General features: G+C 46.9%; 1 pseudogene, besides 3 other annotated features; it reads left to right on the top strand.

Annotated features, from left to right (window-relative positions):
- Positions 6,416 to 6,922: an enhancer, noted in NCBI's record as "NANOG hESC enhancer chr9:6656576-6657082 (GRCh37/hg19 assembly coordinates)". NCBI's record gives its function as "activates a minimal SCP1, AML or CMV promoter by ChIP-STARR-seq in naive H9 embryonic stem cells {active_cell/tissue: H9 hESC(naive)}" and the evidence as "EXISTENCE:reporter gene assay evidence [ECO:0000049][PMID:30033119]".
- Positions 6,416 to 6,956: a biological region, named in NCBI's record as "NANOG hESC enhancer GRCh37_chr9:6656576-6657082".
- Positions 6,857 to 6,956: an enhancer, noted in NCBI's record as "active region_28194". NCBI's record gives its function as "activates an Ori minimal core promoter by ATAC-STARR-seq in GM12878 lymphoblastoid cells {active_cell/tissue: GM12878}" and the evidence as "EXISTENCE:reporter gene assay evidence [ECO:0000049][PMID:35858748]".
- On the top strand, positions 11,491 to 11,782 carry RN7SL123P (RNA, 7SL, cytoplasmic 123, pseudogene; annotated as a pseudogene).

Consider the following 12,180-nt stretch of genomic DNA (forward strand, 5'->3'; position numbering starts at 1 on the left):
ATCTCCGCCTCCCAGGTTCAAGCGATTCTTCTGCCTCAGCCTCCCGAGTAGCTGGGATTACAGGCATGCGTCACCACGCCCAGCTAATTTTTTCATATTTTTAGTAGAGACGGGGTTTCTCCATGTTGGTCAGGCTGGTCTCAAACTCCTGACTTCAGGTGATCCGCCCGTCTCAGCCTCCCAAAGTGCTGGGATTACAGGCGTGAGCCACCGCACCTGGCCTGCCTCCACTTTTGTTCCTCCCCTGCCCGTTCTGCTCTAGCACAAATATTTTGTCCTGAGCCAGCTTCCACCTCTTATTCAGAAGTCTCATCAGAATACTTTTCTTTTTTTTTTGAGACAGAGTCTCACTCTGCTGCCCAGGCTGGAGTGCAATGGCGCAGTCTCAGCTCACTGTAACATCCGCCTCCCGGGTTCAAACAATTCTCTTGCCTCAGCCTCCCGAGTAGCTGGGATTATAGGCACCCGCCACCATGCCCAGCTACTGTTTGTATTTTTAGTAGAGATGGAGTTTCACCATGTTGGCCAGGCTGGTCTCGAACTCCTAACCTTGTGGTCGGCCTGCCTCGGCCTCCCAAAGTGCTGGGATTACAGGCATGAGCCACCACAACTGGCATTCATCAGAATATTCTTATGTAAAGTCTAAAAGAAAGAAGACTTAAAAATAAGAAGAAAAAAGCAAAGAGAAGAAAAGAAAAAGAGAAGAGGATGAAGAAAGTGGACAGTAATGTAACAAACTTGGTGACATTTCGGGAACCATAGCCCTTGAAATGAATAAAGGGGCCAGGCACGGTGGCTCACACCTGTAATCCTAGCACTTTGGGAGGCCAAGGTGGGTGGATCACCTGAGGTCAAGAGTTCGAGACCAACCTGGCCAACGTGGTGAAACCCCATCTCTACCAAAAAATAAAAAAATTATCCAGGCGCGGTGGCACACATCTGTAGTCTCAGCTACTTGGGAGGCTGAGGCAGAGAATCGCTGGAACCTGGGAGGTGGAGGTTGCAGTGAGCCGAGTTCACCACTGCACTCCAGCCTGAGTGACAGAGTGAGACTCTGTCTCAAAAATAAATAAATAAATAAATAAACTTATATATGTGCAGTTGACAATGGTCTTTTTACGCAGAGCTATACATATAGAAGTTGTTCATGGGGCTGAGCATGATGGCACATGCCTGTAGTCCTAGCCGGGACCCAGGAGTTCTAGACCAGCCTGGGGAGCCCAGCGAGACCCCATCTCAAAAAAGTTGGGGGGTGTTGATGTAGACCCTAGACTTGAACAGTTTACAGGTGTCAAATTGTCTGATTCCAGAATTGCTCTGAATTCTGGCTATGGATAATATGGCATAAATTCAGATGAACTTCTTAGGCACTATGATGAAATTGGACCATAAGTGAAATTTTGGAATTAATTGGAAACCCTTCGTATCCATGAGGTCTTGGGGGTACTGCTCCAGGAGTCCCAGCTATTTAAAAATTTAAAAATTAAAAAAAAAAAAAAAAAAAGGCTTGGCATGGTGGCTCAGGCCTATAATCTCAGCACCTCAGGAGGCTGAGGAAGGAGCATTGCTTGAGACCAGGAGTTTGAGACCAGCCTGGGCAGCATAGCCTGGCTGTCTCTACAAAAAATTTAAAAATTAGCCAGGGCTGGGCACGGTGGCTCATGCCTGTAATCACAGCACTTTGGGAGGCCAAGGTGGGTGGATCACCTGAGGTCAGGAGTTTGAGACCAGCCTGGCCAACATGGTGAAACCTCATCTCTACTAAAAATACAAAAATTAGCCAGGCATGGTGGCGAGCGCCTGTAATCCCAGCTACTCAGGAGGCTGAGGCAGGAGAATCGCTTGAACTTGGGAGGTGGAGGTTGCAGTGAGCCCAGATTGCGCCACTGCACTCCAGTCTGGGTGACAGAGTGGGAATCCATCTCAAAAAAAAAAAAGCCGGTATTGTGACACATACCTGTGGTCCTAGTTATAATCACACCACTGCATTCCATCTTGGGCAACAGAAGACTCCATCTCTTAAATGAGAAAGAAATCGCCAGGTGCAGTGGCTCACGCATGTAATCCCAACACTTAGGGAGGCCGAGGTGGGTGGACCTCTTGAGGTCAGGAGTTCAAGACCAGCCTGGGCAGCATGGTGAAACCCCATCTCTACTGAAAATACAAACATTAGCCGGGCATGGTGGCAGGCGCCTGTAATCCCAGCTACTCAGGAGGCTGAGGCAGGAGAATTACTTGAACCCAGGAGGTGGAGGTTGCAGTCAGCCAAGATTGAGACACTGCACTCCAGCCTGGGCAACAGAGCAAGACTCCGTTTCAAAAAAAGAAAAGAAAGGGCTGGGCACAGTGGCTCACGCCTGTAATCCCAGCTCTCAGAGAGGCAGAGGAGGGAGGATAGCTTGAGCCCAGGAGTTCCAGACCTGCCTGGGCAGTATAGCGAGACCCCATTCTCCGCAAAAAGGAAAAAACAAAACAAAAAAAAGACAAAGAAAGAAAGAAAGAAATCTTCGAACTTGGAATGGGAACATGTTTGTAGCTTGGAATGAATTTTATTATCTTGAAACCCCAAATCCCACTGAGTCTCCTTTGATAGGTAAACCCATTCCTCCTGCCCTCTTTCATAAACTGGCAATACCTTGCATGAAGATCCTGTAATGACTTCGCTAAAGGCACTAACCTTGCAATGGAATGTCAATGCTTCTTTGCTTTCAGATCCACAACCAGAATCAGATCTTAACCATACCCCAAGAAGATGAGTAGAACATTTGACATCAGAGGAGAAGCTTACACAAGGAAAGAATTGCAAAATGTTGCTAATATATATTATCACCAGAGGGTTTCTATGGGAGTGGATTCTAAACCAGACAAAAAGGAATATAAAATTGAAATTATTGATTTATTTGTAGTACGAGAGATTCTGGATTCAGTGTGTTAGCTCAATCAGCCAGGAGTGGCTTTTTAGTTTGCTGAGTTGATTGATGAAATCATACTTAACAGTGCCTTCATTAAATTAGGTTAAGATACTAGGACTTCTGTCCGGGCACAGTGGCTTGCACCTGTAATCCCAGCACTTTGGGAGGCTGGGGAGGGTAGATCACTTGAACCCAGGAGTTCTAGACCAGCCTGAGCAACATGGTGAGACTCCTGTCTCTACAAAAAATATAATAATTAGCTGGGTGTGGTTGCATGCCTCTGTGGTCCCAGCTATTCTGGGGGCTGAGGCAGGAGGATTGCTTGAGTCTGGGAGGTTGAGGCTGCAATGCGTCATGATTGTGCCACTGCACTCCAGCCTGGGTGACATGTCTCCAAAAAAAAAAAACCTGTCTCAAAAAAAAAGAAATCCTAGAACGTCCTTGGAATAATAGAGAAGGATCTAAGTCTTGGTGAGAAAGGAATGTTGAAGTAGATTTGTCATGAGTAACACACTCTTCCGCACTTTCAGTGTATCCCTCAGAAGAAACCAGAGGACAATCCCTTCACCAGAGTATTGGGAAGTCCATTGGTAAGAGCAGCACCAGTGTTTTTGAAAAGTCCTGTGGCTGCGGTCCTCTACAGATATAAGATGGTGGTACACAATGGAACTGTTGAGATGGGCTCCTTGATTCTAATGTTAATGATGGAATCCTGGAGTGGTAGAAGCCAAGTGGCAGCACTGGTCAATGGAGATGAGCAACGTTGTCATAATGGGCAGTGGATCAGAGGGGTAACCCGTCAGGTGATCCACGGGGATCTTTGGTGTTCACAAATTGATGGGCAGACTACTAAAGATGTAACTTGATCTGGTGAACAAAAACTTGATATAAGTCTCCAAAATTGAGAGACCCAGCTTTTCAACCAATTCCCTGACTTCAGAGAGTTCACAGACCCAGATGAAGGGGAGGTTGAAAAAGGACTCTTGAAAAAAGATCTTACCAGGCTATGAGAATATACTATAAATCTTCCTTCTGAACTCCCTCAAAGATACCTGTGGCCATTTACTAAGGACACAAAAATACCCAGGCATCTTAGGTTACTAGAACATAAGATAATGGTAAACCCTACATATCTAAAACCACTCTGGGCTGGACATAGGAGACTGAGGCAGGAGGAGCACTTCAGCCCAGGATTTTGAGGCTTCATTGAGCTATGATTTTGACAATGCACTCCAGCTTGGGTGACAGAGCAAGACCCTGTCTTAAAAATAAATAAATAAAAATAAAGGCTAGGCTCACGCATGTAATCCCAGCACTTTGGGAGGCCAAGGTGGGTGGATCACTTGAGGTCAGGAGTTCAAGACCAGCCTGGCCAATATGGCTAAACCCCATCTCTACTAAAAATACAAAAATTAGTTGGGAATGGTGGCATGTGCCTGTAGTCCCAGCTACTCAGGAGGCTGAGGCACGAGAATCTCTCGAAGCTACTAGGTGGAGGTTGCAGTGAGCTGAGATCGCACCACTGCACTCGAGCCTGGGCAACAGAACAAGACTCCATCTCTAAAAAAAAAAAAATGAACAAATTGAAAATCAATAAATTTTTTTGACACATTAGGTAGGAACACGTAAATGGTAATATTTTTGATAAATTAAGGAAGGCTGAGTGTGGACAGGTTTGAGGGGGATGTCCAGAGCTTGCTTCATAGCAAAAGCTTACTCTCCGAAGGAAGGGACTGTGCCAGAGCTTTATCCCAGCTGAGGAATGGAATGCCTCGTACTCTAGCCTCCTCCAGCCTTCTTGTCTTACATAATGAAGGAAAAATAAAAGAAAACAGAATAAACGGGTCAGGGCTGAGAGGAAATCAACCAGCGACTCTGCAGCCAGAGAACACAGGACAGAAGAGAAAGGAACTATATCACTGGAAAAACAATTGTGAAGTTCATAGCCCAAGACAGAGGGCTGTGAAAACACCAGTATTTAATTGGAACATTATAGAACACACCCTGTTTCCAAAACTTAACTACAGCACCAGCAGGGCTTTCATAGTAACAACTGAAGGTGCTGCAATACACAGACTGCCCCTGAGGAAGAGTACCGTAGACCCCCTTATTTGTGGTTTCGCTTTTCATGGTTTCAGTTACCTGCAGTTAACCACCTTCTGAAACCATAAATGGAAAATTCCAGAAATAAACAGTTCATAAGTTGTTGGGTTTTTTTTTGTTTTTTTGTTTTTTGACACAGTTTCACTCTTGTTGCCCAGGCTGTAGTACAGTGGCGCGATCTCAGCTCACCACAACCTCCGCCTCCCGGAGTCAAGCGATTCTCCTGCCTCAGCCTTCTGAGTAGCTGGGATTACAGGCATGCACCACCATGCCCGGCTAATTTTGTATTTTTAGTAGAAACAGGGCTTCTCCATGTTGGTCAGGCTGGTCTCGAACTCCTGACCTCAGGTGATCCACCCGACTCAGCCTCCCAAAGTGCTGGGATTACAGGCATGAGCCACCGTGCCCAGCCAACAGTTCATAAGTTTTAAGCTACATGCTGTTCCAAGGAGCATGACAAAATCTCACACTGTCCTGCCCCATCGCGCCTGGGATGTGATTCATCCCTTCGTCCAGTGTATCCATGCTGTTTATGCTGTGCACCCTCAGTCACTTCGTAGCTTTCTCAGTTGTCCCATTCTCAGATTGACCATCAGGATATTGCAGTGTTGTGTTTTACTTAATAATGGCCCAAAATTTCAGAATAGTGATGCTGGCAATTTGGATATGCCACAGAGAAGCTGTAAAGCACTTCCTTTAAGTGAAAAGGTGAAAGTTCTTGACTTAATAATATGTACACCATGGAATATTATGCAGCCATAAAAAAGAATGAGTTCATGTCCTTGCAGAGACATGGATGAAAAAGGCGAAAACTAGTCAGGTGTGGTGGCATGTGCCTGTGGTCCCTGAAACTGGAGAGGCTGAGGTGGGAGGATTGCTTGAGCCACAATCACACTACTGCACTTTAGCCTAGTGATGGAGCAAGACGGAGGCTGGTCTTGAACTCCTGGGCTCAAGCAGTCTGCCCACCTGGGCCTCCTAAAGTGGCTGGGATTACAGGCATGTGCCACCACGCCCAGCTAATTTTGTATTTTTAGTAGAGACGGGGTTTCTCCATGTTAGTCAGGCTGGTCTCGAACTCCCAACCTCAGGTGATCCGCCAGCCTCGGCCTCCTTTAAGTGCTGGGATTACAGGTGTGAGCCACTGCATCCGGCCTTATTTTTGTATTTTTAGTAGAGACAGGGTTTCAGCATGTTGGCCAGGCTGGTCTCAAACTCCTGACCTCAAGTGATCTGCCTGCTTCAGCCTCCCAGAGTGTTGGGATTACAGGCGTGAGCCACCGCACCCAGCCAGAAGTGAAGTTTCTATATGAATGTCAATGTTATTGCACTAGGTTTAATGCCATGCTGTGACCTCTCAGATTCTTTTACTAAAGATGAGATATGACATATGCAGATTCTGGATTCCTAATAAAACAGCCAAGCAGGACTAGCTCCCAGGTGATACTTTCTTTCCCAAGAGAAGCAGAATTATAAAGGATTTAGATGCAAGGTTGGTACCTTAATATTCTTTCCTGGCTGGCTAAGTGTGAAGTGGGGAAGGAGGGAATGGAGGGATACAGGGGCCCTGTCCAAAAATATCACTTCCCACTATAAGCTAATTAAAGATACATTTGTGTTAACTAGTTTCTCCTTTGAAAGCAATTACTGCCATGCCAAGCCTCATTAACAACTCAGTATGACTTCCTTTAAAGAGAAAATCCACTCAGCTCTTAACTGGCCCTGTGAGTGTCCAGCTAGAGTCCTTGGATTTATCGAAGAGCAAATTTATGAAGTAGATACTTCTTCGTTTATTACAATTAAAGAGGAAAGGCAGATTCGAAAAGATAACTGTGGTCACAGGTGGTAGAGAAAATGCACTAGAGGAGGACCTGCCTTCAAGTATCTCATTGACCAGCACAGGATTGTGAAAGGACAGAAAGCCAAAGACTGATTCAAAGCCCAGAGGCCACTAATTTACTGTTAAGGACACACGGGCAATGTGCATAGAGCATTTGCTTCCACACCTGGCTATTACTTTGTGTGTTTGTGTGTGTGTGTATCAGGATTTTAATGTACAGCTGGCCGGTGACTCAACACAACCCCATGGCTCTGAACTGTCTCATTCAAATTGTAAGTTTCACGCATAAATAATAGGTACTGCTCTTTCTATAGATCCAATAGAAAATACTCTTTTTTTGGTTCTAGCTCTTTTCCTTGAAACTTTATTTATATTTAAATTTTTTACCCCCAGGCCTGGTGGCTCATGTCTGTGATCCCAGCACTTTGGGAGGCCAAGGCGGGCAGATTACCTGAGGCTTGGAGTTCGAGACCAGCCTGACCAACATGGTGAAACCCCCGTCTCTACTAAAAATACAAAAACTAGCCGGGCATGGTGGTGGGCATCTGTAATCCAAACTACTCAGGAGGCTGAGGCAGAAGAATCACTTGAACCTGGAGGCGAAGGTTGCAGTGAGCTGAGATCGCACCATTGCACTCCAGCCTGGGTGATAGAGCAAGACTGTGTCTCAAAAACAATACTGTTGCCCAGACTGGAGTGCAGTGGCGCGATCTCGGCTCACTGCAACCTCCGCCTCCCGGTTTCAAGCGATTCTCCTGCCTCAGCCTCCTGAGTGGCTGGGACTACAGGCCCATGCCACCATAACCTGGCTAATTTTTCTATTTTAGTAGACCCGGGGTTTCACTGTGTTGGCCAGGCTGGTCTCAAACTCCTGACCTCAGGTGATCCGCCTTTCTCGGCCTCCCAAAGTGCTGGGATTACAGGCGTGAGCCACCACGCCCAACCAATTTTTTTGTGTGGTTTTAAAGACAGGATCTCCCTCTGTCACCCAGGCTGGAGTACAGTGACATGATCATAGCTTATTGTAGCCTCTGACTCCTAGGCTCAAAAGATATTCCCATTTCAGCCTTCCAAGTAGCTGGAAATACAGGCACATGCCACCACTCCCAGCTTTGAAGTGTGTTGTTGTTGTTTTTAATAAAACTTTTTTTTAATGCAATGGATTTTTTTAGTTTTGTTTTGTTTTGAGACTGGGTCTTGCTCCATTGCCCAAGCTGGAGTGCCGTGGTGCGATCTTGGTTCACCACAACCTTGCCTTCCCGGAATCAAGCAATCCTCCCGCCTCAGCAGCACCTGCCCTCCCCACTGGGAAGCTAGGACTACAGGTGCTCACCACCATGCCCAGCTAATTTTTATATTTTTTGTAGAGATGGAGTTTCACCATGTTCCCCAGGCTGGTCTCGAACTCCTGGCCTCAAGCAGTCAGCCCCCGTTGACCTCCCAAAGTGCTGGGATGACAGGTGTGAGCCACTGCACCTGGCCCAATGTGTTTTTTAATGGAAAAAAAAATCGCACAGAAGACATTCATGCCCTGGCCAAGTCAGGGGGCTACCCCAAGTAAATCGTGATTTGCTGTGGGAATGGGAGCTGGATCTCAGTCCTGACCAAGATCCCTATGGATGAGTCCCGGCTCTGCCACTTACTGAAAATGTACATTGTAGCAGTTTACTTAACTTTATTCTGCCTCTGTTTCTCATTTGTAAAATACAGTCATTGTGAGTTTTGAATAAGTCATCATTTCCTTCCCTTCTTCTTCTTATACTACCAGAGTGTTAGTCTTTGCAAACCCAAATATTTAAAGAGACTGCTATTTTTATTTGCTTTTATCACAATGTTCCTAACTTGGGTAAATCAACATGATGCAATAAGATCAAGACCTCTTTGGTCGTTTACTGGGCTGAAATCTTGTAATAAATGCTCACAAGATATCAAATGGCAAAAACTATATCATTCAAAAGATGTGAGTATTATAAATCCAGAGTAATGTCTGGTACAGAATAAGAGAATTGGGGGGTACTTTAGCCACCCCCTAATCTCTGATACATATCTTTATATTAAATATCATGGATGGGCTGATTTGATGCCAGTCCCCTAGGTATTGAGCAAGTTGTGTAACCTCCGCAAACTCCTCCTGCAAGATCCAGGTCAGGAGCAGCCACTCAGACCCTAGGCTGAGCACGAATGCTAGAGGTTGGACCATTAGGAAGAAACAAGTCAGCACCTAGGCATCCTTTTACACAGGTTTTCAAAAAGACCCACTTACACACCTATCTGCCAGGGAGGTTCTGCTTTTCTTTTTTATTTTTATTTTTATTTATTTATTTATTTATTTTGAGACGGAGTCTCGCTCTGTCGCCCAGGCTGGAGTGCAGTGGCGCGATCTTGGCTCACTGCAAGCTCCGCCTCCCGGGTTCACGCCATTCTCCTGCCTCAGCCTCCCGAGTAGCTGGGAATACAGGCGCCTGCACTGCGCCCGGCTAATTTTTTTTTTTGTATTTTTAGTAGAGACGGGGTTTCACCGCGGTCTCGATCTCCTGACCTCGTAATCCGCCCGCCTCAGCCTTCCAAAGTGCTGGGATTACAGGCGTGAGCCACCGCGCCGGGCCTTTTTTTTTTTTTTGAGACGGAGTCTTGCTCTGTCGCCCAGGCTGGAGTGCAGTGGGGCGATTTCTGCTCACTGCAAGCTCCGCCTCCCGGGTTCACTCCATTCTCCTGCCTCAACCTCCCAAGTAGCTGGGATTACAGATGCCCGCGACCACGCCCGTCTAATTTTTTTTGTATTTTTAGTAGAGACGGGGTTTCACCGTGTTAGCCAGGATGGTCTCGATCTCCTGACCTCGTGATCCGCCCGCCTCGGCCTCCCAAAGTGCTGTGATTACAGGTTCCCACCACCACGCCCAGCTAATTTTTTTTGTATTTTTAGTAGAGACGGGGTTTCACCGTGTTAGCCAGGATGGTCTCGATCTCCTGACCTCGTGATCCGCCCGCCTCGGCCTCCCAAAGTGCTGTGATTACAGGTTCCCACCACCACGCCCAGCTAATTTTTTTTGTATTTTTAGTAGAGACGGGGTTTCACCGTGTTAGCCAGGATGGTCTCGATCTCCTGACCTCGTGATCCGCCCGCCTTGGCCTCCCAAAGTGCTGGGATTACAGGTGCGAGCTACTGCGCCCGGCCTTTTTTTTTTTGTTTTTTTGAGACGGAGTTTTGCTCTTGTTGCCCAGGCTGGAGTGCAATGGCCCAATCTCAGCTCACTGCAACCTCCGCCTCCTGGGTTCAAGTGATTCTCCTGCCTTAGCCTCCAGAGTAGCTGGGATTACAGGCATGTGCCACCATGCCCAGCTAATTTTGTATTTTTAGTAGAGACGGGGTTTCTCCATGTTGGTCAGGCTGGTCTTGAACTACCGACCTCAGGTGATCTGCCCACCTCAGCCTCCCAAAGTGCTCAGATTACAAGCATGAGCCACCACGCCTGGCCTGGGGTTGTAGTTTTCTAGCTTCTGTATTTACAGATAGGTCAAGAAGAAAGTTGGGACTCTTAAGTCAGAATAAGTTAATATGGCTATACATTTAAATGCTAATAATTCAATCATTTTAAAAAGGAGAGATTGATCAGGCATAGTGGCTCATGCCTGTAATCCCAGCACTTTGAGAGTTTGAGGCAGGACAGCTGCTGGATACCAGGAGTTGGAGACCAGCCTGGGCAATATAGCAAGACCCCATCTCTACAAAAAAGAAAAAGTTGGCTTGGTGCGGTGGCTCATGCCTGTAATCCCATCACTTTGGGAGGCCAAGGTGGGCCGATTGGGCGGATTGCCTGAGGTCAGGAAGTCAAGGCCAGCCTGGCCAACGTGGCTAAACCCTGTCTCTACTAAAAAATACAAAAAATAGCTAGGCATGGTGGTGGGTGCCTGTAATCCGAGCTGCTCGGGAGGCTGAGGCAAGAGAATTGCTTGAACCTAGGAGGTGGAGATTGCAGTGAGCCGAGATCGCGCCACTGTACTCCAGCCTGGGCATCAACAGTGGAACTCCGTCTCAAAAAAAAAAAAAAAGAAAGAAAGAAAGAAAAGGGCCAGGCGCGGTGGCTCACGCCTGTAATCCCGGCACTTTGGGAGGCCGAGGTGGGTGGGTCACGAGGTCAGGAGATGGAGACCATCCTTGCTAACACAGTGAAACCCTGTCTCTATTAAAAATACGAAAAGCCGGGCATGGTGGCGGGCACCTGTAGTCCCACCTACTCAGGAGGCTGAGGCAGGAGAATGGTGTGAACCCAGGAGGCGGAGCTTGCAGTGAGCTGAGATAGTGCCACTGAACGCCAGCCTGGGCGACAGAGTGAGACTCTGTCTCAAAAAAAGAAAAAATTAGCAAGACTTGGTGACATGCACCTGTCGTCTCAACTACTTGGGAGGCTGAGGTGGAGGATCACTTGAGCTCAGGAGTTCAAGGGTGCAGTGAGCTATGATTGTACCACTGCACTCTAGCCTGGGCAACAGTGAGACTCTGTCTCTTCAAAAAAAAAAAATAGGCTAGGCATGGTGGCTCATGCCTGTAATCCTAGCACTTTGGGAGGCCAAGGCAGGCAAATTACCTGAGCTCAGGAGTTCGAAACCTCATCTCTACTAAAAATACAAAAAATAGCCGGGTGTGGTGGCACACACCTATAATCCCAGCTACTCGGGAGGCTGAGACAGGAGAATTGCTTGAACCTGGGAGGCGGAGGTTGCAGTGAGCCGAGATCGCACCACTGCCCTCCAGCCTGGGTGACAGAGAAGAGACTCCGTCTCAAAAAAAAGAAAAAAAAATAGATAAAATTAAGTTGGGTTTTCTTTTTTGAGATGGAGTCTCACTCTGTCGCCCAGGCTGGAATGCAGTGGTGTGTTCTTGGCTCACTGCAACCTCCACCTCCCGGGTTCGAGCAATTCTGTGTCAGCACCCCCTAGTAGCTGGGATTACAGGCACGTGCCACCACACCCAGCTATATTTTGTACTTTTAGTAGAGACGGGGTTTCAACATGTTGGCCAGGCTGGTCTCGAACTCATGACCTCAGGTGATCCGCCTGCCTCGGCCTCCTAACATGCTGGGATTACAGGCATGAGCCACCATACCCGGCCAAAATTAAGTTTTAAAATATATATAATTAAGCCTAATATTAGTGGGGGGAGGGGATCACGGTGGAGGAATACACTCCCGAAAAATTTTTTAAAACAAAAATATTGAAAGGAACAGCTGTGAGTTGGTAGCCAAATTTCTTAAGGTGTTGCTTAGTTAGGCAAGGCTTAAAAAAGACAAATAAAAATTTAACAATGAAGATATTACATGAGAGGTC

Source organism: Homo sapiens, chromosome 9 (genome assembly GCF_000001405.40).
Source record: "Homo sapiens chromosome 9, GRCh38.p14 Primary Assembly".
Classification (NCBI taxonomy): Eukaryota; Metazoa; Chordata; class Mammalia; order Primates; family Hominidae; genus Homo; species Homo sapiens.